This window comes from Homo sapiens, chromosome 13, assembly GCF_000001405.40.
Source record: "Homo sapiens chromosome 13, GRCh38.p14 Primary Assembly".
In the NCBI taxonomy this organism is placed as follows: domain Eukaryota; kingdom Metazoa; phylum Chordata; class Mammalia; order Primates; family Hominidae; genus Homo; species Homo sapiens.
This window is the reverse complement of record NC_000013.11, coordinates 40,110,337-40,123,825: the sequence shown is the minus strand read 5'-3', so window position 1 is coordinate 40,123,825 and position 13,489 is coordinate 40,110,337. Positions and strand designations below refer to the sequence as shown.

General features: G+C 40.5%; 1 protein-coding gene across 1 annotated transcript in view; it reads left to right on the top strand.

Moving 5' to 3' along the window:
* Positions 1-13,489, top strand: part of LOC124903162 (uncharacterized) — a 138,590-nt gene that overhangs the window by 93,868 nt on the left and 31,233 nt on the right. The window contains exons 2-3 of the mRNA XM_047430821.1: positions 4,301-4,363; positions 6,686-6,791. Of these exons, the coding sequence (XP_047286777.1) occupies positions 4,301-4,363; positions 6,686-6,791 (169 nt within the window). The remainder of the gene's footprint in view (positions 1-4,300; positions 4,364-6,685; positions 6,792-13,489) is intronic.

Below are 13,489 nucleotides of genomic sequence, written 5' to 3'. Positions count from 1 at the left end.
TAGTGTTCTGCATAAGAGACTATGCTCTAGATGCCAGGACAGTGGTAGGTTTTCCAGAAGAAAGCTTTCTGGGAACTTGACCTTTGTTATCTCTTGGGAGTGGAGTTAGGGGTGGCTCAGCTATAGGAACCATATTTATTACGTTAGGGCTCTGAATGACACTATACAGATTCAAATCCTGGCTCTATCACTTCCTAACTTTGAGTCTTGGGGCAGATTTCATAGCCTCTTAAAGTCTCAATTCCCCCCGCTGTAAAATGGAGATAATCATGAAGATTATATGCAATAACACGTGTAAAATGCTTGGTAGGATGTCATGCACATAGACTTGCTAAACTCTTCATCGTAATTAAAGCATACAATGATTTGGTGTCTATTTTTTCTGAGCCCTAAATTGGGATGTGCGATTTGAGAAAGGATTATTTTTCTTGGCGTGTTAAATTTTTGATATGAAGAGTCTTACAAAGATACCAAAATGCACTGTATTCGATTTTTCATTTCACAAATCCCCTTTGCAACAACTTCTCCTGGAGTGAGGATGGGGGTGAGGGATAGGAAAGGGTTTCAAGACAAGGTCTGCACTGAGAGGCAGGGGCCTGAGCTAAGGTCTCAGCTCAGCTGTAAATCAGCTGTGCAAAGTTGGGAGCAAGAAGTCTGTTTCTTCTTTGGGCTCAGATTATTTGTGTAAAATGACAAGGTTGAAAAGACTGTTGAGGTTGTCGGGAGCACCGAATGTCCAAGATTCTATATTGCTGATCGTCTCTGTCAAAGTATTTCCTGCCCCACTAGCCATGACATGGTCTATAGGCAGAGAGAGTGTGGGCACATACATGCCTGCATGAGTAGTGGTGGTGACCCCACACCTGTGGACTTCAGCCTCATGCTCCCTGACTCCTCTGTTCACAGCACATGGTCCCATGTGTGTGGCTTCTTTTGGGTGGCCACTCACTAAGGCAGCCTTTGGGAACCATGGCTTTCTTTAAGAAACATCAAACAAAAATCCTACACTTCCTCTCTTTGCGCCACCCTGGGAGACTCTGAAAAGCCTTCTTCAAAACCCCCAGTACCACTCCCTATGTTACAGGATATTATTTTGGGAGTGTTGCTTTGTCCCACTTTGTTTCACCCCTCCCTAGATACCCACTCCAGCAGAGGTCATAAAAGGGCATTCATTGAGGGCCAGTTTCCCCAAAAGGAGTTTTCACAATTGGAATTAGTTTCCAACATTTAAAAATAAAAGGATATTACATAAAACCCAGATTGCTGACTTCTTTTGAAAAAATTTAAAAAGGAAAATATGACCAGAGTTTTCCCAAGAAGGATGACCTGGTCCTTACACCAGAGGGTGAGGAGTCAGCCTGGGATCTGAGCAGGGCAATGCCCTGGGTCCCCACTCCAGGAAGTCTCAGTAGCACATTGAGCACTGTCCCCTCTCACCTCTGTTAGCTCCACAGGACCATCATGTTCACCAGTCACCTTGAGACCCTTGCTGGTAGAGTGTCAGGCACATAGGGTTGCTAAACTCTTCTTCATTATTAAGCAAAGCATACAGTGATTTGGTGTCTCTTTTTCTCTGAGCTCTAGATTGGGAGGCATGACTTGAGAATTATTTTTCCTGGTCCCACTTTGGAGAACCTCACTTCTGTCCCCTGACTTGCTTCAGTCCTGAAGTTACCTGCTGGGCATTTTCCCCTTTCCTTAGGTTCATCCATGAAGTCAACCTTTATAAGTTACAGTCCTTGAAGATTCCATCCTTGTGATCATGCAAATCCCTGGAACAGGAATTGCATTTTGAGCTTTAAATAAGTTATGCATTTAAAGACCAAAAGCCCTGAGCACACGTTTTGCTAAGAACTGGGAGGAATGAGTTTGAGGACACATAGCAGCTGGGTTGGGTTAGAGGATTAAACCAAGAATCTGAGAAGGGTGGGAGTGAGGGTGGCAAGAGACTGCTAGCTTTTATAATCCTTCCTCAACTAGTTCTGGAATTCTGAGTGGAAGCAAGAGGCAGGGAGAAATGGGGCATGAGCCAGCCCTGTCTCATACAGTTATTCTCCTCTTGCCTAGACCAGCTCTACGCAATGTTTTGGGGCATTGGTTCTTCCAGCCTTCTGCTGTCTATAAGGTAACAAAGAATCCCCTAGGGACAAGAGGACAGTGGAGAAGACACTTGGAGAGGAGATTTGGAGCAACCTCTCTGAAACACATGCAAATAATTTATAGCCCCTGGACCTGATTTTCCTCAGATGCTAAAGTGCCTTTTAGCTGTGGATTTCTATAATCTGGTTTCGTTTGCTGTACCATGAGAATTGTGTCTTTTGGCCACATATGAGGGCCCATCACTAGTGTAAGTATGCATTAGACTTTCCATCACCTACCACAGTTTGTTTGCTAAAAAGGCCACAGGTAAGTCCTGTCGAAAGCAATCGAGAATAAATTGTACTCTAGAGAAGGTTTGTATTAGAACCACAGAATCATTAAATTAAAACTAGTGAGGACAATACCAGGGGTGGCTAACGTCAACCCATGAGACCAAGTTCAATGTGCTGGTCAATGACTGACCTCAGAAGGCGTCAAAGGCCATGAAATCAATATCTACAGTGTAACTTCAACGCAATATTCACTGTTACTTTAAATTGGGTCATTTACTTGAGGACTCGACTACTGAACCGAAAGCAAGAATAGATGCCTGGAGAGTACACGTGCAGACAAAGGAAATTCTGACTGAGGGGATAATCTTCATTGATTTAGTCATACAATGAAAGTTTTCACTTATGCAAAATACTTTAATAGCCAAAGGCTTTTTGCTTTGTACTCTAAAAGCTCTAATGCCATTCCCCTAGAAATAGCAAGCATACTATGTCACATTAAATTCCTTCTGTCAGCTGAATATTTTGGCATGGAATTTCTGGGTTGAATCATTTTGTCCAAAAAAGAACAAAAAATAGGTCATTTACTCTTTCTCTCCGTAATTCTTTTGTTAATTCACTGGTTACTTCAGCAAAACCCTACTGAAGAAATGAAATGTGGCTTATGCCACATTCAGATATGACAAGAGGTTTGAGTTCTCCACTAAAGCTGTCAGAATATTTTTTAAAAAAATAGTCAAAAACACACATCCTGCCATCCTTATACAGCCATCATGTATGTATATTTTCCTCTAACCTTTTTGCATGTATATTTATATGGCTGTAATAAAAGTTAACACATAATATTTTCTTTTGTCCTTTTAACTTCCTAAACTTGCTACGTAGGCTTCACTTTTAATGACTGGAGAAAAATCCACCCAGTGAATATACCATTGTGGTAGATTGCAAAACAGCTCCTAATTCTTCACCCCTCCCTGTTTCTACATTCTTTGCAATGTGATTTTGCAGCTTCTCCCATTAGGGAGTGAAGTTTATTTTCCAGTTCCTGGAATATGGGCTGGCCTTGTGACTTGCTTTGGCCAAAAAAATATAGCAGAAGTGATGGGGTGCCAATTCCAAGCCTGTGCCCCAAGAAGCCTTGTGCACTTCTGCTTGCCTCCTTGGAACCTTGCTGTAGACAAACTACCATCATATTGAGATTTGAGAAAAATCACAAATTAGTGGAAAGAAACCCCAATCTTCCCAGTCATCACAGTTAAGGCTTCCCAGACCCGTCAGCTCCCAGCTGAACTGCCAGCTGACCTCAGTTGCAAGAGTTCAGCTGAGACTAGAAGAAACCCCTAGCTGATTTGTAGGCTTATGTGCAAAAACAAATGCTTGTTGTTTTCATCCAAAACAACAGAGTTTGGGGGCAGTTTGTTAGGCAGCAGTAGCTAACTGATACACCCACAATCCTCTTATTTCCCTTTTTCTTGTTTATGTAGGTGTTTCCAAATGTTCTCTATTATAAACTAATGTGGTAATCAATATCTTGATGCAAGTGGAGAATGTTTCTGTGAGTCTTCATTTGGTTTAAAAAAATGGACAATGACATTTTAAAACCTGTAACTTATCAGATACTACGTGATTGAAATTCTGGAGTCATCTCTACAAAATTATCATTGTCAAGCAAATATAAGCTTTCATATTGCATAATTGTTTCATATAATTGTTTTATATGTAAACGAATGTAGGACCAGCAAACATGTATTTTTCTAAGGAAACTTATGGCACAGGATCCTATCCAATCTCACACCAGACAAATCTCAAGAAACCTCAGAAGCCCATAGAAACTTATGTGTCAGCCTAGCAAACCCTGAACATATTGACTTCTTCCAGATGGTTCCAAATAATCATCCATATTAATTTTTTTATCTACCAATCTTTTCCAGAGAAAAGATGGCTATCCCGCCCAATGTTTGGCCCCCTCCTGCAAAGGCCAAAACATTCGTTGGGTAAGTTGTGGCTACTCAGAAGGCATATTGGAGGTGGGCCTCTAGCAAGTCATTTGCCTAAACAAAGTCATTCTAATTTTAATTTAATGACTGCTTCATATAAGTTGAATGACCTGATAATAATAGCAGCAATCATTTATAGTGCTTTTTCATTGCATGTATATAGGCCTTGCCCAGTCATGCCAGTCTGAGATGGTTGATATTTGAGAAGTATTGTCTAAGGGAAATACTGACCACCAAAGATCTATTGCAATATAGTCATGTTATTTATTTTAGGTCCCTTGGTTCATTATTATTATGGTCATTACTGGTGGTGGTGGTTTGTTGTTACTGAGATCTCTTCAAGAGAAAGAAACATCATGAAAAACATTTTTGGAGCTTTGAAAATCTGTTCTTACTGATATTGTCATTTGTGTTTTTCACCATTTCTTATATAATGAACCAGACAATAAATTCTGTTTAGATTTTGAGGCTGTTTTATAGTATCTCTCCTTTGATAAACTATTAAGTTTCCTTTTATTAGCTATTGAGAATTATAATTGCCCCATTCCCTTTTTTGGACTAACAAGGAAGCGTAATCACATATGTATCTTCAACTTAGAACATTCTACAACTCTTCCACTCCCTCTGTCTTTTCCTCCATGACTTAATTATTATTTGTGCCTTGACTATAATGGTTCTATTACATTTATATATTTTTGTAGGCTCCTTGGACTGCTTTTTGGTAGTATTCCTGCCCTATTCTGACTATGTAGGCCTCTGGAAAATTCTTATTTATTCTGACCTCTTATCTTACCAGAAAATAGAGATATCCTCATGGAGTATAGTACCACTTGGCTCATCACTCATTTTGCAGAGAAGCGAAAGCTCAGAAAATCTTCCTACCGAGAGGGTGTTTTTGTGGCAAGTGACAGAGCCAGCTCTATATCAGAGGCCCTGACTCATGCTCTCTTTGAATTACTGAAAATGTGAAAACTCCCTGTATATAATTTCAGACAGTATAAGGGGCTTCATTTTGTTTTAAATTTATTTATTTATTTTTGGTCGGGGGGAGACAGGGTCTCACTCTGTCACCCAGGCTGGAGTGCAGTGGTGCAATCTCTGCTCACTGCAACCTCTACCTCCCGGGCTCAAGCAATCAATCCTCCCACCGCAGCCTTCCAAATAGCTAGGACTACAAGTGCGTGCTACCACACTTAGCTAATTTTTAAATTTTTTTTGTAGAGATAGTGTCTCCCTATATTATGCAGCCTCGTCTGGAACTTTTTGGCTCATGTCACCCTCCTGCCTCAGCTTCCCACAGTGTTGGGATTACAGGCATGAGCCACCATGTCTGGACTGGGGCTTCATCATAAGAGAAAGATACTAGAACTTTTTTGTTGTATCAGTGAAAGTTATATTTTCCAAGCATTCCTGGCATTTACTCCTTCTTACTCAAATCTAAATAAAGTCCAGAGGTTGGTGAGATAATTATCAGTTTAAGTCCTGAATTTTATAGTGTTCTTTTTCACTTATATAATTTCAGAATCTTAAGTTCCACTCACTAACAAACCAAGGGTCTGGGTTATCAGGCCCAAGATTCTCCCTGTCTCTACCATACCATCCTGAGACTCCAGACTGGAATACTCACAAATCCTCCATATTCCCCCAGGGGCCACTTGTCACCTTTCTATGGATGGAAAGAGAGAGAAAACCCTGTAAGTGCCTGCCTCCCTCTCCCCAGGCAGTTGGTATCTCTGGTTAGAGTCACTGGGGAAAGAGGGCTCCTTCCTCCCCTCTGCATCCCATATAATTCTCCCACATCCATCAGTCTCCAGTCTTCTCAGGACGCTTCTGGGGCAGCACTGTCTTGTGAGACCTGGGGCTGTTATATACTCAAGGCCTGCTTGGGTCAGGTGCCTGCCTGAGTGACCAGGTAAAATTAGACCTAACTTGTAAAACTGGATCATTTGTATCTGAGCTGCCACCATATAATAAAATTGCATCTCCCTAAAGGCATGTTTTTTAAATGATCCTTTCATATATCTACATGGAATACAAGAACTTAGCTGAACTCAGGAACTAATAAGCATCAATCGTTAGCTGTATACTAAAAAACTTTCAAATATTTTTTGCAACTTTTTTTTAAAGAGTGCCTGGTGAACCATATCAAATCAAATAGATATATAAGTGCATTTTATTGAAAGAAACTAGAATCTCAAAATGTTCTCTGAAACAAATTGATTAATCAGTCTCTGCTTTTTGACTGCCTCATGGTCAGTGTTTCCCTGCTAATAAAGCCCTCTATCTTCTTATTACTGCTTTTACTTGCTCATTCAACAGGTTTTTCCTTTACTGTCTAAATAAAGAAGAATTTGTGCACAGTCTGAGTGGGTCAGGATTTCATCCCATGGCCATGTGGGAGCTCCAAGATTTGATCTCCGGGCTGGTACGTCACTTAAAATCAGAGACAGACTACCTATCTGTGAGAAGAGGACCTAGGTAAAGTGAAGAAGGTGGGAAGGAAGACAGAAGTGGTAAATCTGAGGTGACCCAAATGAAAACAAAAATAATGATTATGTTGTTGGCTAACACTAATTGAAGACATATTTTAGGAAGTCATTTAATCTGCCTCCATTCTCTTTTTTAAACTTAATTATCTATTTACAAATTCCCATAAATATTTACTGAATGCCTTTATAATAGATGTTTGATTAGATTCATTAATTCGTTCATACCTTCTGTGAGCTGGATAGCGACTTCTATGTTGGGGATATAGCAGTGAAAGTAACAAAGTCCCTGTTCTCAAAATGTTTATATTCTAGTGGGTCGTGGGGCAGACATAGACAAATGTATGGCACATCAGGCAGTAATAAGTGCAACAAGGAAAAATATATCATGCAGGGAAGAGTTATGGTGATAAAGTCAGGGTGGGAAGAGAAAGAAACTTTTATACTGGTGGTCAGAAAGAGTGTAAACATAGATTTTTGTTGGAAAGTTTTGAAATTGCTAGATTTGTTTTCTTAGAATACATTCAGATAATTTAAACCTCTTTTGGGCAGCAGTTCTGAAATTGAGACTGCAACTTGCTGAAAGCCCCCTTGCTATGCATTTATACACCTTTAGCCATGGGACCTGGAGGAAAGGAAACAATCTAAAGAGCCCTGTAGCATGTAACCCTGGAGGTCACTTTGTCCTTAACTTGTAAAACACCCTTTGTGGCTGGTCTGACGTCAATCAGCAAGGGTTGGCGGATGACTCATCACCATGTTCATATCATTGTTGGTTCCTGTTATTGTTTTTCTCCTCACGTTGTAGTTAATCATTTGTTGGAGTTGGGTTAAATACTCACGTGCTTTATTAGGTCTTTTCCTACAGTTTCATGCAGGCCAACTCCCTTGTGAAAACGTAGGTGTGGATTGGGTTCTATTTGGTTTGAGGCCGTGTTTCCTTTTCCCCAGGGGGCTAGCACATTGAATTGAGAGGCCAGAATAAGGGAATCCAATCTGTGAAACAAAATCATGAGTCTCCATAGGTTGGAGGACAGTGTGCCACTCTTTGGCACAAGAAAACTTACCTGGAAGGTCTTAGTTCTACTCTGAAATTACCGTAAATTTTAAAATAGTTCCATAATAAGGCATTAACCTGAATCCTTATCAGCAGATAACAAGAGAAGGGAGGGCAACCAGGATTTAAGAATAAACACGAGAAGGGTGGAGACCAGACGCCACTAGAAACCCAGATCTGCTTTCAAAATATATTCTAATCCCAAGTTTCTGAGTTGAAAAGTCACTCCTAAGCTATGCAGGCTTGAAGGGAATAGCTTAATAAAACTCTCCCACTCCCTAGCCAGGGTGAGGTACAGTCAAACAGCAGGAGGCCCTTAGCAAGCCTTTCTTTCCTTTTTATATTTTCTTCTAAAATATCCTCCTTCTTAGCTTTACAGCAAACAAGACAGACACTGCAGACCTGACTTGCTCTGTCTGGATTGAGACTCTTTCTTTCCACTGGCTTGTCAGAAGACTCTTTGTCCTTAAACACAGAAAAAGATAGATCTCACCACCATCAACAGCGTATTTCTGACCAGGCTCCAAATGAAACTTCAGACCAGACCGTATTCTTTCAAAGCCAGGCCGAGCTTAGGCTGGGTCCTGCTTGCAGAAACTACTAATGACTTGCTGGTAACCACCCAAGTCCAAAAAGCCTACAAACACTTGAAATAGGGCTTTAGAATTGAAAAAGAAGTTTCTTCTCTTAGTTCATCTCAACACCATCTGGCTAGCTTTTATAATCCTTATTGCACTACGATTAATTTTTTATGCCATAGATTTCTGCTAATTAATTGTAATTACCAAGGACAGGAAATTTCAGTGTGACCAGATCATGTTTATTCAGAACAGCAAAGTTAGAGAACTATGCCTAAAGAGATGTTCTCAGGATTATAGAATTTTTAGAGCTGGGTAGAACCTCTGAAATCAACCAGTTCAAATAGTTTACTTAATAGATGAGGAAGCCTGAGCCCAGGCTTTGTAGCCAGTTAGGAGCAGAGCCCTTAAGAGAATCCTGACTTCCACATTCCCAGTCCAGGTATGTTTGTACTATGCCCCACTGCCTTGAGAATGGGTGCAAACCAGAAGCAGCCACTTTTCTCCTTTTGGGTGGATTCATCAAATTCAGGATGGAATTTGGTCAAAATGTCTCATTGCATCATCATGTCGCTTTGAAACTCCAAGTTCTTTGGACATAGAGTTCTTGTCTATGTGATGTGAACCAATAAATTCTCTGGAAATAAAAAAAAATTAGTCCAAACACTTGGCTGGTGTCTTAGAGGAAAAAAAAAGTCTAGGTGATTGAATTTCTTAAATTGAATTAAGCAGCTGTTTTTGCATCTTGTGGACACTCATGTTGGGTCTAGACAAACTTGTCCGAAGCTGGGACTGGGCAATTGAATTGAATGGAAATTGTGTGGCAGCTCTGTAGCACGTGACTTACCAATGCTTGCCAGGCTTCTGGGCCGATGGGGAAGCTGCTGCTGTAGTCCAGTGGTTTTCAGACTGTCAGACTACATGTTTACTTTTAAACCGCAGAATCCTTATTTCAAATGAAGTATTTTTGTGTATTATCTACACGTAAAATAGATAGGGGGCATATTTTTGTTTAAAGTGATAACTTTCCCTTTACAAACAGCAATAAGTGAGAAAACTAAAATGGGCTTAATGAACTAACATTTGAAATTGTGAGCTACAGGAATCCATTTTAGTCGTAGAGCAGCATTGGCACCTAATTTGTTTCTGTATGTGGATCTACCGGTGCAGCAGCTCACTCATCTGGTGTAGCCAGTGCTCAGTGCATGATCGGGCCCACAGGAAGGATGCATGCATCGATTGCTCCTGGCTTGTGAGCTTCTGAAGGCAGGAGCTATATCTCAATTCACCATTTAATCTACCCCACTCCAAAATGACACCTACTGCCAGACTTTAACAAAGTAGGCATCTAGCAAACAGTGGCTGCATTAGGAGGTAATGAGCTTGTACCTGATGAGGTTAACTAATGGTGGTGTACTGGAGAGCTCAGAGGAGCTAAGAGCTGTGGTCACGTCAGTAAGTTTAATGGGATACTCTTAACTGCATCACGAAGGTTGAATCAGAACTGAATGTGCCAGCTTGGTTCGTACAAACTCTCCCTCCTTCTTGCGTAATCTAATTAATGAGATTCTCTTCATTCAAGTGGTCATCAGAACAGGGACATTTTTCAACTCTTTCTAGCTTACTCTCCTCCCCTTCCTCAGCCAGTGATAAGCTGCATAGATTTTATCTCCTATATGGACCTTTTTGGCCTCTGTAGACTATTCTTTTTGTTAATGCTTGGGCTCAGGCCTTTATCATCTTTCACCTGGACTATTGCGATAATGTTCTAACTGACACACTTGTCTCAAGAGTCAACCTTTTGTAGGCTATGTTGTTCTTTGTTATAAAATCTATTTTCTAAAAACCCAAACCTTGTCAGTTAAATCACCTGCTTCCAAAAAACCTTCAATGGCTTTATAGTGTCTATTGGTTAACTTTCAAACTCCTTTGCAGGAAATTCAAGGCCATGCTTTGCCCTCTGTCCCCACTGCCCCACCTCATGAGACCCTTACTTTACCAACATGGTGGACACAGGTCTTCTTGGGGCCTCTACTCTTTTGCTTGTGTTCTTCTGCTTGAAATGGCCTTGCATGCTCTCTGCCTCTGATGCCTGTCTCCCAGTAGACAGCACTTCCCATCAAGGCAGGTCCGTGTCTGTTTCTCTGTGCTTTATTCCCAGTGTTAAGTACATTGTCTGGCACAAAATTGTTATCCAGTTAATATTTGTTGAATAATTAGAAGAATATAAAAAGGCTGATAAGTATGATTTGCATTGAATTAATATTCCATTGTATTTCCACTACTAGGAGGTAGTACACCTTTTAGTATACTTTGCATTGAATTGACACTCAACTGTATTTGCACTACTAGGAGGTAGTATACGTTGATTGAGAGTGCTCAATTCAGTTCAGCACCAGACATAATAGGAAACACAAAGATTGGTCAGACATCATTTCTACACTTTAGAGAGACAGTCTGAAGTAATCAGTGCTGGCAGAGAATGTGATAGCCATCAAAAGAACTGGGCAGACTATAATAGGTAAACTGAGGTAGTGGTCTCCTTACTGGATTCCTATGATTTCTGTCCCTTCCAATACAATCTGCATATGTTTACCAGATTCACCTTCTCAAGTGCTCTTTTGGACACATCCTCCCTCATCCTAAAAATCAAATGCCTTGTGATCCTTGTTAGCTACAGATAGAAGTCCAAACAACTTATTAAAGCTGTGTAGTCTTCCCAAAGGATCCCAAAGGATCTGACGGTTGTGACCTGCCCTTGTGGGATTCTGTCTTGCTCCAGGGAACATCTTGCATCCCACAAGCCTGTGTTGCTCCATTCCTGGAAGGAAGAGCCATGGCATGAGGCAGCAACACCGTCCTAGGAGCAGTAGTCATTTGTGCTGGTTCATGATACCCTTGCTTGTCTGGATCCTAGAAGGCAGGTCTCAGTGTCCTAGACTGAACTCTGTTCTCTATTTCTTGCTCTACAAGCTGCACCCCCCTCCACCGACTCAAATCATACATTCAGGGTGCTTCTGCCAGCAGGAGCCTCAGAAAAACAATTGGAGTTCTCTGTCCTGGACTTTCCCTGCCCTATAATCAGGAGCTCGTAGAATTACTTCTTAGCTTAACTTACATTGTTTTCCAAAGTCTGCTGTCTCCCTACTTTATAGCAAAGATTCTAGCAATTAGAGCTCATCAGAATCATTTTAGAAGCTTACTAAAATGCAGATTTCTGAGCCTCACCTTTGAGAATGATGAGTTCTAAATCAGTATTCTGGTTGATTCTGGTGCAAGTAGTTCACTAACAACATTTTGAGAAACATCTAGAGTGTGGTCACCAATAGTTCTTCTGCATGTATTTATTCATTCATTCATCCAACTACAAACATTGGCATTTCTTCTACAACAGAGCTTTTGTAACAAGAATTGGATATGATGGGATCAATTAATTAAGAATAATGGATTACACCTACTGTTTATTCCAAACAACTGTATTCTAAAACCACCCAGTAATCATAACTTCTTAAGGAAGAAAATGTTCAAGTTTGCCCTGCACAGCCGCTTGGAGAAGCTGTGTAGTTTATTTGGCTCATTAGTGAATGATAAGAAAATGTGAGCAACTCTGCCCTTACATGGTGATAGGAAAAGAAATGCCTTTCTTAAGCTAGATGAATGGCTTTGCTCAAAGATGTTTGGTTTCTTAAAGCTATGCTCTTATATATGTATTTTTAATTCCAGAAAGAAAAAAAACTTTGTAATTGCACATCTGAAAATTTAACCCCTAAGTCCCTATATGATTTTTGATAATTAAATATTTATCAGGAACATAAGTTTTAAAGTATAGAGAACAAATTGCATTAGCTCATTTAGCCTACTAAGTTCCAAATACTGTGATAGGGACACAATGATAGAATGACAAACAGGACTTGCTTTCTTGGCTTGAAAGCTTTTATCAGGGTTTATGATGATCACAGTTTCCCAAACCAAAAATTAGGGGCTGTAATATGATATATAGTCTTCCAAATCTGAATGTGAGATTATTCTTAAAATTCCTGAATGCACATTCCTCTTTCTGTATGAATTCACAACTTCAGCCAGACTGATCTATTCACTATCATCAACCTTGCCACGCACATTTCTGGCGCCTCTCCTTTATTCTTTGGAGTACCCTCGTTTCTCTTGTTCTACTCATCTAAACCTAACTTTAACCGAGATCCAGTTAATGTTCTACCTCCTTTGCGAAGCCAACCTAAACCATCTCAGACCACAATGAACTACAGTGCACCTTTCTCCCTTATTGTCTACCTTCTTACTTGGCATTTAACAGATGCCAAGGCATTGTTATAAATCTTTTTACGCACAGGCTACCTCCCCAGTTACACTACTAAACAATCCTTTGGAGGGTAGTCATTATACCTTATGTGTCTTTGTAGTTTGATTGAGCATAACCTCTGACCCATAATGGGTACTCCTTAGACCTAAGGTATGGATGAGAAGGTGAACATTGTATGTATTCTATATTTACCAAATATTCTTCATTGTCCATTCTGTTATGCAGATTCTGAATTCCAGTTATGTCTACAATATCTACAATTTCAATGATGAGTGTTTTCAGGTTGATAACCCCAAGCTATTGCCTAGGAGTAATGTCCACTTAAAACCAAGAGTTTCAAACTCATGCCTTCATGGGGCAGGCAAGCAATCAAGTTGGACTATGTCCGTCTAGCTCCATATTTTTCCCACAAGGGAACACCAGGAAGATCAAACCAAGAAGCCTGTCTGTGTGATGGCCCCTTCTGGCTGGTGGGCTGCCAGGTTGCAGTCTTGGCTTAGAGCCAACTGGGCTGAGCAGGTTCATGCCTCTGTAGTGTAAATTACTAGGCCTCTAGCTCCATCAACTCTCCATGGTCTTTTAACCTGTTGCTATGGCAGTTTGTTCTCTGGTTAAGGCCCTTTTGCCACCCTGATCCAAATGCAATGCTTGGCTGAAACCAAGTACAGAGATCTGTCTCTGGGT